This window comes from Homo sapiens, chromosome 17 (genome assembly GCF_000001405.40).
Source record: "Homo sapiens chromosome 17, GRCh38.p14 Primary Assembly".
Taxonomy (NCBI): Eukaryota; Metazoa; Chordata; class Mammalia; order Primates; family Hominidae; genus Homo; species Homo sapiens.
In genome coordinates this window covers 18,563,405-18,575,775 of record NC_000017.11, presented here as the reverse complement: position 1 = coordinate 18,575,775, position 12,371 = coordinate 18,563,405, and the positions used below count along the sequence as shown (strand labels likewise).

General features: G+C 40.8%; 2 pseudogenes across 1 annotated transcript in view, besides 2 other annotated features; one reads left to right on the top strand and one right to left on the bottom strand.

Moving 5' to 3' along the window:
* CCDC144BP (coiled-coil domain containing 144B, pseudogene) overlaps positions 1 to 12,371 on the top strand; it is an 87,818-nt pseudogene that overhangs the window by 49,842 nt on the left and 25,605 nt on the right. The gene's annotated exons all lie outside the window — the stretch shown is intronic.
* RPS28P9 (ribosomal protein S28 pseudogene 9) lies at positions 2,673 to 3,055 on the bottom strand (annotated as a pseudogene).
* Positions 5,757 to 6,490: an enhancer, noted in NCBI's record as "OCT4-NANOG-H3K27ac-H3K4me1 hESC enhancer chr17:18472600-18473333 (GRCh37/hg19 assembly coordinates)". NCBI's record gives its function as "activates a minimal SCP1, AML or CMV promoter by ChIP-STARR-seq in naive and primed H9 embryonic stem cells {active_cell/tissue: H9 hESC(naive and primed)}" and the evidence as "EXISTENCE:reporter gene assay evidence [ECO:0000049][PMID:30033119]".
* Positions 11,939 to 12,018: an enhancer, noted in NCBI's record as "active region_11839". NCBI's record gives its function as "activates an Ori minimal core promoter by ATAC-STARR-seq in GM12878 lymphoblastoid cells {active_cell/tissue: GM12878}" and the evidence as "EXISTENCE:reporter gene assay evidence [ECO:0000049][PMID:35858748]".

Genomic DNA, 12,371 nt, shown 5'->3' with positions numbered 1-12,371 from the left:
TGTCTTATGTAAGAATAGAAATTCAAGTAGTAGAATGTCTTTAATTTCACTTTTTGCTTCTTGAAGGAGTGTATGGCCAGCTTATGCCTTGCTGACTCCATGACATGATGAGAGTCAGGCTTATGAAGACAGATCCCATTAATTTTTTTTCTCCAGTCATACCTTTTGTCTCTCACCCAGTGCCTCTCTCTTCATTCCCATTTCCATCAAATCTTGGTCACAGGATATGCTGACTCCTACTATTTACTGCATTATGTTTTTATTAACTCATTGTAAGTCATAGAGTCATGTGTAGATTTTAACTATCTATGAAGGGCAAGATTAAGTCTAGGCTGTCCTCTTTCCTCATTGGAAATTGAGCTAATTCATCATGTTGCAGTTTACAGTTAGATACTCTTTTGACCCAGCACCTGGTTCTCTTGTACACTCCCGGAGCTGAATCCTCTTCTTGGCACAGATACTACATTCTCAGAAACCAGAGTTCCCTGCATTTACCTCTTTTTGCTTAAATAGAGATGCATAGCTATGCTTTTATAGTTCAATACATAATTCATTGAATAAATACTTCAACCCATTCAAAGAACAACTTCCAGGAGTGCAGCAACTGGAAATCAGGTCATGTCCAGGCATTTATCAGAAACAAATGGTTGAATTAGTTGTATGAATTTCAAAATTTCAGAGCCAATTTGTATGATATGGAGAAGCATTTTGATACAACATAAAGATGAGATGCTCTTCCCTTCTCCATACAAATGAGCTTGAAGTAAGGTAAAGGGGAAATTGCATTTAATAGCTTAACACTCAAAGGACACTACATTTTTACTTCTGAGATTGTTAAAACTGATTCCATAATATTTTGTTAATTTTCTCACTGAGGAAATGGAAATGAAGATTGAATCCTAGATTGATTAATAAATATCCAAAGCTGCTTATCACTTTTAGAATTTCAGTTCATTGAAATCAGGTACAATGTCTGATTTTTGGTAATTAATCAAATATTTCTGGTTTTTTCAACTTTATACTTCAAATTATATATCTCCTTCCTTCTTCATCTTCCTTATTTCATAACTCGGGGGACAAATTCTAAAAGCCTCACTGGCTTAGTCATCAGAATTTGTAATCGAAAGGAACTTTTTCTAAACTTCCTCTGCAGTAGTTCTTACATCCTTCTCCTGGTTGTCTGCTGCTTCCCATTAGAGTTGTTTGTCATTAATAAATTAACCTCAACATTTTTTAGATCTTACTTTAAAGGAGACTAATTTCTACTGGTATGTTATTCTATTTCTTGTTGTCTCCTTGTTTAAATTTATTTTTCTGGTTATTTTTTCCTAACAAATTACCCAAAGTTGAGTGGCTAAGAACAACATTCGTTTAGTTCACCAATCTGTGGCTTGGGAAAACCTTGGCTGGGGCAGCTTGCCCAGATATCTACATTGGAACTCCTAGGCTCTCTTTGTGGCCTAAGCTTCCTCACAGCATGGGGGCTGGGGTCCATGGGTGAGCAGTCTGCGGTAGAGAGCCTCTTCTAACTTAATGTTGGAAGCCACATGGTTATCACTTTTAACACTTTCTGTTCATTAGAAGCAAGTCACTAAGTTTCACCCATAGTCTGTATATAGGATGAATGATTTTGCTTTTATTTTTATTGATGTATTTTTTTTTTAGACATGGTGTCTTATTATGTTACCCAGGCCGGCCTTGACCTCCATGGCTCAAGAATTCTTCCTGCCTCTGCCTTCCAAGTAGCTGAGACCACAGGAATGTGACACCACACCTGGCTTCTTTTGATTTTTTGTGGACCTGTATAATTGTACATATTTATGGTATACACAGTGATATTTTGATATGTGTAAACAATGTATAATGGTCAAATCAGGCTAATTAATATATTCCATCACCTCAAACATTTACCATTTGTGTTGTGAACTTTCAAAATCCTCTCCTCTAGCTTTTTAAATATTAGCTAGCCAAACCAGGTGTAGTGGCACACACCTGTAATCCCAGCTGTTTGGGAGGCTGAGGCAGGAGAATGGCTTGAACCCCCGAGGCAGAGATTGCAGTGAGCTGAGATTGCACCACTGCACGCCAAGCCTGGGTGACAGAGCAAGACTCCGTCTCAAAAAAAAAAAAAATATTAGTTAACCATATTCACCCTACAATGCAACAGAACACTAGAATTCATTCCTCCTATGTAACTGTAATCTTGTATCCATTAACCAGCCTCTCCCCATCTTCTACTCCCCTTTACCTTTCTCAGTCTCAGCCTCTAATACCCACAGTTCTACTCTCTACTTCCGTGAACGTTTTTTTAAATTTTAGCTCCCACATGAGTGAAAACATACAGTAGTTATTTTTCTGTGCTTGAATTATTTCACTTAGTGTCACTTAATGTCCTCATCCATGCTGTAAATGACATGATTTTATTCTTTTTTTATGGCTGAATAGTATTCCACTGTGGACATATACCACATTTTCTTTACTCATCAACCACATTGATCTGTTGATGAACATTTAGGTTGATTCTGTATCTTGGTTGTTGTGAATAGTGCTGCAATCAACATGGGAATACTGGTATCCCTTTGATATGCTGATTTTCTTTCTTTTGGATAAATACTTAGTAGTGGGATTGTTGGATCATATGACACTTCTATTTTTAGCTTTTTTTTTTTTTTTTAACTTGAAACACAAACGCTTTATTTAAAGGAGCATCTCAATTCCGTGTGGCGGACCAAAAAAAAGGAGCAGACTGTGACAGACCATTCCCATCGGCCAAGTGGTCGAACCCCACATCCAAGACCCAGCGAGCAGCCAAGCTCAGCGCAACCTCCGGGCTTCTCGCTCTGACTCCAAAAGGGTGAGCACGTCGCCCTCGCGCACGGGGCCTTTTACATTGCGGATGATGGATCGGCTCGTGTCGTCCATGAATTCCACGCGCACCTGCGTGCACTGTCCCTGAGAGCCGGTCCTGCCCAGGACCTTGGTGACCCTGGCCAGCTTGATAGGCTGCACACGGCTGGTGTCCAAGATGGCGGCGCGGCGGCGATCTGGCGGAGAGCTATTTTTAGCTTTTTAAGAAACTTCCATGGTTTTACTAGTTTACATTCCCTCCACGAGTGCATAAGAGTTTTCTTTTTCTTTCCAACCTCGCCAGGATTTTTTACTTCTGGTTTTTTTGTTTTTTGTTTTTTGATTTTTTTGATGGTAGCCATTCTGTGGTGAGACGATATCTTATTTAGGATTTTGTTTTCATTTTCCTGTTAGTGATGTTGAGTACTTTTCCATACATTTGTGGACATTCGTATGTCTTCTTTTTAGAAATGTCTATTTAAATTCTTTGTCCACATTTCAGGGGGGATTATTAACAATTTTTACTGTTGAGTTGTTTGAGTTCCTGGCATATTCTAGATATTAGACCTTTCTCAGATGAATAGATTTGTAAATATTTTCTCCCAGTCTACAATTGTTGGTTGTTTGCTTCACTTTGTTGATTGTTTCCTTTGCTGTGAAGAAACCTAATTTTAATATAGCTTTACTTATGTATTTTTGTTTTTATACCTGTGCTTTTTTTTGCATATGCCCGTGATAACTTAGCTATAAAATCTTTGCCTTGACCAATGTCCTGAAGCATTTTCCATATATTTTCTTGTAGTAGTTTTATAATTTTGGATCTCATGTTTAAGTCTTTAATCTATTTTGAGTTGATTTTTGTATATGGTGAAAGATAGGGACCTGGTTTCATTCTTCTTTTTACAGATACCCACTTTTCCCAGCCCCATTTGTTGAAGAGAGGGTTCTTTCCCCAATGTATGTTTTTGATACTTTTGTTGAAAATCAGGTGTCTGTAAATATGTGGATTTATTTCTGCGTTCTCTATTCTGTTCCATTGGTTTAATTTTCTATTTTTATACCAAGACCTTGCTCTTTTGGTTACTGTAACCTTGTAATATATTTTGAAGTCAGGTGGAGTGATGCCTCCAGCTCTGTTCTTTTCCCTCAGGCTTGGCTTGTATAGTCTAGCTTTTTTGCAGTTCCATATGAATTTTAGGATTGTTTTTTCCATTTCTGTGAAGAATGTTATTGGTGTTTTTTTATTGCAAGTTAAAAAGGGCATTTTATTTTTATCTTATTCTTTCTCTTTCTTAACTTTCAGATTCAGGGAGTACATGTGCAGGTTTGTTACACAGGTATATTGCATAATGCTTAGGTTTAGGGTGCAGTTGAACCTGGCACCCAGGTAATGAGCATAGTACCTGGCATGTCATTTTTCAACCGTTGTCCAACCCAGTTCCCCTTCTTATAGTCCCCACTGTCTATTGCTCCCATCTTTATGTCCATGTGTACCCAGTGTTTAGCTCCCACTTACAAGTGAGAACATGTAGTATTTGGTTTTCTGTTTCTGCATCAGTTTGCTTAGGATAATGGCCTCCAGCTGCATCGATGTTGCTGCAAAGGGCAGTATTTTGTTCTTTTTATAGTTGCATAGTATTCCATATTGTATATGTGCTGCATTTTCTTAATCCAGTGCATCATTGATGAGCTTCTGGTTTTAGTCCATATCTTTGCTATTGTGAATAGTGCTGCAGTGAACATTGGGTGCATGTGTCTTTTTGGTAGAATGATTTTTTGGTGGTGGGAAGTGGATATTTAACCAACTAATGGGATTGCTGGGTTGAATGGCAGTTCTACTTTTAGTTCCGTGAGAGAAACCTCCAAACTGCTTTCCACAGTGGCTGAACGAATTTACCATTTTCTCCAATAGTGTATTAGAATTCCCTTTTCGCTGTAGCAGCTCTGCCAAAATCTGGGTTGTTGTTGCTTATTTTTTGACTTTTTAGTAATAGCCATTATGTCTGGTGTGAGATGGTATGTCATTGTGGCTTTGATTTGCTTTTCTCTGATGATCAGTGATGATGAGCATTTTTTCATATGTTTGCTCTCCACTTTTATGTCTTTTTTTGAGAAGTGTCTGTTAATGTATTTTGCCCGCTTTTATATATTTTTTTAAATTCTTGTTTGTTGATTTAAGTTCCTTATAGGTTCTGGATAGTAGAACTTTGTTCAATGCATAGCTTGTAAATACATTCTTTCATTGTTTAGGTTGCCTATTTAGTCTCTTGAATGGTTCCTTTTCCTATGCAGAAGCTCCTTTGTTTAACTAGGTCCCAATTTTTCATTTTGACTTTTGTTGCAATTGCTTTTGAGGGCTTATTCATAAATTACTTTCAGAGGCTGATTTCTAATAGTGCATTTCTTAGGTTTTCTTGTAGGATTTTTATAGTTAGAGGTCTTACTTTTAAGAATGTAATTCAGCTTTCATTAATTTTTGTATGTTGTTATAGCTAGGGGTCAAGTTTCATTCTTCTGTGTATGGATAACCAGTCATCCCAGCACCATTTATTGAATAGGGAGTCCTTTCCCCATTGCATATTTGTGTCGGCTTTGTCAAAGACCCAGTGGTTGTAGGCATGTGGCTTTATTTCTGGGCTCTCTGTTCTGTTCCATTGGTCTATGTGTCTGTTTTTGTGCCAGTACCGTGCTGATTTGTTTAGTGTAGCATTTGTTTACTGTAGTATAGTTTGAAGTTGGGTAATGTGATGCATCAGGCTTGGTTCTCTTTGCTTAGGATGGCTCTGGGTGTTTGGGCTCTTTTCTGGTTCCATATGAAATTTTAGAATAGTTTTTTCTAATGCTGTGAAAAATGACGTTAGTAGTTTGATAGGAATGGTATTGAATCTGTAGATTGCTTTGGGCAGTATGGCCTTTTTTTTTTTTTTTTTTTTTTTTTGACTTAGTTCTTTTCCTTTTAATAGCAACCTAGCACCTCTGAGAATCAGAAAGATAGGGGAGGGCGCTTGGAGCACCAGCTGCACCAACGCTGGCAGGATGAAAATATTTATGCACCAATGAGGCACTAGCTGCTTTCAGAGACCTCCTTTGAACTGTTAATCAAGCCCAATCTTTCAGAATAATAGCCTGATTATTACCGCCCTGTTTGCATAACAAAGAAGCCCAATAAGACTTACTTTGCAGTGCACGAGGAGGTGTGAAGGATCGACCCTTAGAAAGGAGTCCTAGGAATGCAGTGAGCCGCTGCAGAGCCTGAACCCAGGAATAAAGACAATGCAATTTGCCACCAAGAAAAGCTCAACAGACCAATAAATTACCCGCGTGCAAAGGGATTAGATCAGGTTTCAGTTACTGTGTAGGAGGGGTGGGGTGAGCCGGAGAGGGAAAAGACCTGCCCTCTCTTAAAGGGGTAAGGCTCATTTTGAGTGCAAGCCCCAGGGTCAAGCTGTTTTTGTCCAACTCTGTGGCCTGCGTGGGAACTGCCTGAGTTCAGTTACTTGCTCCAAGTTCTGGACCCTTCTATGTGCCGGGCACTGTGATTAATGCTGTTTCTGGAACAAACCCCAGTTAATCTCTGCGCTCAGGTATGGTCAATCACAGAAACTTCTAGAATACAAAGCAAACATGTTTCATCTCAACACTTAACAGCAACAAAGGTTTAAGAATGGAAGTACGAGAAGGTATCAGGGAAGTAGCATTTCAACGAAGTCCTGAATTTGACGGGTGATGAAGGGCAAAGATCTGACGACAGGGACCTCCAGAACAACTGAGCTTGGCAGGAGGTGACATGCTGGCTGGTCAGAGTGTAGCCAGGAGTTTGGGGCCAGACACGGAAACCTAGAGTGCCACCTGTGCCCATTAGGAAGCAAATGTCGCTCAGCTTCAAACCACTTTGCTCTCTGGTGCAGGGATTCTGCAAACCCCATCTCTTTCGTCTCTGGGTTCCCTGTTAAATTTCCCCACAAGGGGACACTAGATGGAGAAGGGAAGGTGGGAGGCAGGAGACAGGTTTACCTGCCATCCCCAAGGCTGTTTCTCCCACCACTTACCAGCAGCGGCCCTTCTTCCCCATCAGAGACCCGGGCCCTCCTCCAAACCTGCCTTCCTTCTGTCCCTCTGGCTGCAGGGGTGGAAGCTGCTTCTGCCACTCTCTGTCCCAGCGGTCTCTCTTTGCCCTTTCAGTCTTCCCACGCCCATAACAATGCCCTACACGAAGTTCCCTCTGCGGAAACATCCCAGGTGGGTTTCGCTTTTCTGATTGGACCCTGGCACGCCAGCCTAAGGATTTCTGCCTTTTTCCAATAGATGGCAGGGAGCCCCTGAAGCATTTTCAGTGAGCACCCAGGGCGTGATCAGAACACTATTTTAGGAAGCAGTGTAACTGAAGAGGCGATGGCTTCAATTAGGATGGAGGCAGGCGGAGGGAAGGGAGGGAGAGCAGCTTAAAAAAGAAATCACTGCCAGCGCCTGTGGAGACACTAGCCTTGAAGCCTCAGACCTCCCATGTCCCCTTCCTCACTGTCCACCTAGCCTGAGCGGCAGATGCTGAGTTGCCCTTCTTAGCCACATGGTATGTCCCCCGTTCAAAGGAGGTGGAGGAGGGAGCACTGAGCCAGGGGGCTGGCCAGCTCACACCCAGTGAGACTCACGCTGCCACCCCTCCCCACCCTCTCCTGTCCTTTGTGCCTCAGTGCTGGATCTCACAGGGGACAGGAACAGACGGACCACCCATATGTGGCAAACTCTGGAGTATGGCCATTTTAATGCGATTGATTTTTCCAATTCATGAGCATGGAATGTTTTGCCATTTTTTTGGTGTCATCTATTTGGTGTCATGATTTTTTTTCAGCAGTGTTTTGTAGTTCTCCTTGTAACCACCTTTCATCTCTGTAGTTAGATGCATTCCTAAGTATTTTGCTTTTTTGTGTGTGGCTATTATAAATTGGATTACATTCTTGATTTGTCTCTCAGCTTGAACTTTATTGGTATATAGAAATGCTATGGATATTTTTACATTGATTTTTGTGTCCTGACTGAAGTCATTTATCAGTTCCAGGATAAATTGGCAAACTCTTTAGAGTTTTTTAGGTACAGAATCATATCATCAGCAAAGAGAGATAGTTTGGCTTCTTTTCCTTTTTGGATGGCTTTTCTTTCTTTCTTTTTCCTGATTGCTCTGGCTAGGAGTTCCAGTACTATGTTGAATACATACGGTGAGAGTGGGCATCTTTGTCTTGTTCCAGTTGGCAAGGGGAATGCTTCCAACTGTTTTTGTTCTTTTTTCTTTAATTTTTTTCTTTACTACTTTACAGAGACAAGGTCTCACTGTGTTGCCCAGCCTGGTCTCAGACTCCTGGCCTCAAGTGATTCTCCTGTCTTTGCCTCCCAGCATGCTGGGGTTACAAGCATGAGCCACTGCACTTAGCCCCCACTTCCAGCTTTTGCCCATTCTGTATGGTTTCAGCTGTGGGTTTGTCATAGAGTGGCCTTTATTATTTTGAGGTCTGTTTCTTTGATGCCTAATTTGTTGGGTGTTTTTTTCATGAAGGGATGATGGACGTTATTGAAAGCTTTTTTGCATCTTTTGAGTTGATCATATGGTTTTTCGTTTTCATTTTGTTTATGTGGTGAAACACATTTATTGATTTGTGTACTTTGAACCAATTGCATCACAAAAATAAAGCTGACTTGATTGTGGTGAAGTAAGTTTTTGATGTGTTGCTGGATTTTGTTTGCTGATATTTTATTGAGGACTTTGGTGTCTACATTCATTGGGAATATTGGGCTGTAGTTTTCTTTATTCATTGTGTCTTTGCTGGCTTTTAGTATCAAGATGATGCTGGCATCATACAATGAGTTAGGGAGAAGTATCTCCTCAATATTTTGGAATAGTTTCATTAGGTTTGTTAACAGCTCTTCTTTGTATGTCTGGTAGAAATTGACTATGAGTCAGTCTGATCTGAATCTGTTTTTGGCTAGTAGGTTTTTTATTACTGATTCAATTTCAGAGCTTGTTATTTGTCTGTTCATGATTTTAGTTTCCTCGTGGTTCAATCTTTGTTGGTTTCCAAGGATTTATCCATTTCTCCTAGATATTCTAGTTTGTGTGTATACAGTGGTGTTCATTGTAGTCTCTGAGGATCTTTTGTATTACTATGGGATTGGTTGTAATGTCATCTTTGTTGTTTCTGATTGTGCTTATTTAGATGTTCTCTGTTATTTATTTATTTATTTATTTATCTAGCTAGTAGCCTATCAGTATTTTTATCCCTTCAAAAAGCCAACTTTTGGTTTCACTGATCCTTTGTATGGATTTTTGGGCCTCAAGTTTTCTCAGTTATGCTCTAATTTTAGTTATTTCTTTTCTGTTGCCAGCTTTGGGGTTATTTTGTCCTTGTTTTTTAGTTCCTCTCGGCACAGTGTCAGATTGTTAATTACAGATCTGTCTAACTTTTCAACATATTTGTTTTGCACTATAAGCTTTCCTCTTATGCTGCTTTTGCTGTATCCCAGAAGTTTTGGTATGATGTTTCTTTTTGCTTATTACAAATCATTGTTTGATTTCTGCCTTAAATTCTTTCTTTTCCCAAAGTCATTTAGGAGCCAGTTGTTTGATTTCCATGTAATTGTGTGGTTTTCAGAGATCTTCTTGGTATTCATTTCTATTTTTATTGCACTGTGGTCCAAGAGAATGGTGTTGTGTGATTTCATTTTTTAAAAATGTATCATGACTTGCTTTATGGGCAAACATGTTGTTGATCTTGGAGTATGTTCTTTGTGCAGATGAGAAAAAGGTGTATTCTGTAGTTGTTTGGTGGAGTATTCTGTAGATGTCTGTTAGGTCCAATTAGTCAAGTGTTAAATTTAAGCCCAGAATTTCTTTGTTAGTTTTTTGTCTCAATGATTTGCCTTAACACTATCAATGAGATGTTGAAGATCCCCACTGTTATTGTGTGACTGAGTCTTTTGGTAGGTCTGGAAGTACTTGGTTGTTTTTGAATGTGGGTGCTCCAGTGTTGGGTGGGTATATATTTAGGTTAGGGATGTCTTCTTGGCGAAGTGAGTCCTTTATCATTGTGTAATGCCCTTCTTCATCCTTTTTTGGCTGTTGTTGGTTTAAAGTCTGTTTTATCTAAGAATAACAACCCCTTGCTTTTTGCATTTTATTTGCATGACAGATCTTTGTCCATCTCTTTACTCAGAGCCTGTGGGTGCCATTACATGTGAGATATGTCTTTTGAATATAGCAGACTGTTGATTCTTATTGGTTTGTTTTATTTTAATTCAACTTGCCACTCTGTGCCTTTTAAGTGAGGCATTTAGACCATTGAATTCAGTATTAATATTTATATGTGAGATTTTGATTCCGCCATGATGTTTTTAGCTGTTTGCTTTGTACTCTCGATTGTGTAGTTGTGTAATAGGGTCTGTGGGCTATGTACTTAGGTGTGTTTTTGTGGTAGTGGGTATTGTTCTTTCTTTTCCATATTTAGAACTCCTTAAGAATCTCTTGTAAGTCTGGTCTAGCGGTAACGAATTTCTTTAGTGTTTGTCTGGAAAAGATTGTATTTCTCTGTCACTGATGAGGCTTAGATTGGAGTGGTATGAAGTTCTTGGCTGAAATTTCTTTAAGGATGCTGACAACAGGCCCCACTTTCTGGCTTATAAGGTTTTTGCCGGAAAGAGGTCAGCTTTTCACCTGATGCAGCTGTTATAGCTGCCTGTGAGATTTTTCCTTTCGTGTTGACCTTGGAAAGTCTGATGGGCTGTGTATCTTGGGGATGGTTGTAGAGGTTCTCTGAATTTCTTGAATTTTTCCATCAACCTCTGTAATGAGATTGGGGAAATTTCATGGACTATATCCTCAGACATGTTTTCCATGTTGCTTCCTCTCTCTCCTTCTCTTTCAGCCATGCCAATGAGTCATAGATTAGTGTCTTTACAAAATCCCACATTCCTCAGATGTTTTGTTCATTTTTAAAATGGTTTTTTCTTTATTTTTGTCTGACTGGGCTGACTCAAAAGACTGGTCTTTGAGCTCTGTAATCCTTCCCTCCGCTTGGTCTCATCTGGTTTTGAAGGTCCCTCCTGTGTTGAATTTTGCAGCTCCAGAGGTTCAGTTTGATTCTTTTTAAAAATGGCTCTGTCGTGTTTCAACTTTTGGATGGTTATACTGGCTTCCTTGGAGTGGATTTCAACTTTCTTTTTAATCTCATTGAGCTTTGTTGCCATTGAGATTCTGAATCACATGTCTGTGATAAAGCATGTCATTACACTTTAATCTGGTGAGAATTTATAGCTGGGGAGCTAGTGTGATTTTTTGGAGGTAATGAAATGCTCTGATTTGTTGAGTTGCTAGAGTTCTTGTGCTGATTATTCCTCCTCTGAAAATGCTGATGTTTCTTTATCGTTTTGAAATTCCTGTCATTTGGATGGGGATTTTTGTTTTTATGTTCTTTTTTTTCTCTTGAGGATTTGTGGTGTGTATTGTGTATAGTTGATTGGCCTTTGTTTCTGGGTGGTTTCAGATGGCCAGGACTCTACACAGGTTCCTTCCTTGTGGCTACTTTCCTGCATTGGGTTTCACAGATGTGTGTTGAAGGTATATAATTTTTGTTTGGTGATGTAATTCAGTCTGCAATCCAGGAGATGGTGCTCTAGAGTACGGGCTGGCATGCCTCTTCTATTTCAGCGTGTTGGCGGCAGTGCTCTGGGGAAGGGGGAGAAGTAGGATTGGGAAGGTGAGAGATAACCCCCTCACCAAATCAGTTCCTGGAACTTGGGAGAGCCCCCTCCAATCACTGGTGCCACACCTGAATTTTGAGGGCTGCACACCTCCCACCCTTAGGGCAGCGGCCCAAGCCAAAAGTTAGGTTGCCGAGAGACCTACAACTCTCTGGGGACGTGCTGGTTGTCTGGGCTTGGTAGAGTCAGAGCAGGTTGTAGAGTATGTCTGCGGATCTGCGGGTTGTCTGTTGATATAATGTGGGTCAAGGGGGGAGGATCCCCGGGCAGGGCTGTGGTTCTGTGGGTGTGCACCTGGTGTGGTGCCTGCAGCCCAGAGTTTTTTGCCTAGCAGATGGCTGTGGGGAGCACTTAGCTGGCACTCACCCAACCAGGCCTCCCTCCAGTGTCTGCCCCCAGGGCAGGCCCAACTAGGTAGTTTTGTCCCCCAGCCTTCCGTGCCCAGATCAACTGGACTGTTAGCTGTTTCAGGCAGTGGTGCTCCCTCAGGCAGAGGCTGTGGACAGACAGGTTACATACACCCTTCCTGGACAGATCTTGTAGAACAGGGTCCCCAACCTCCAGGTGGCAGACCAGTACTGGTCTGTGGCCTGTTAGGAACTGGGCCGCACAGCAGGAGGTGAGGGGAGGGCTGGTGAGTGAGCATTACCACGTGAGCTTCTCCTCTTGTCACATCAGCAGCGGCATTAGATTCTCATAGGAGCGCGAGCCCTATTGTGAACTGTGCACGTGAGGGATCTAGGTTGCGTGCTCCTTATGAGAATCTAATGCCTGACGAT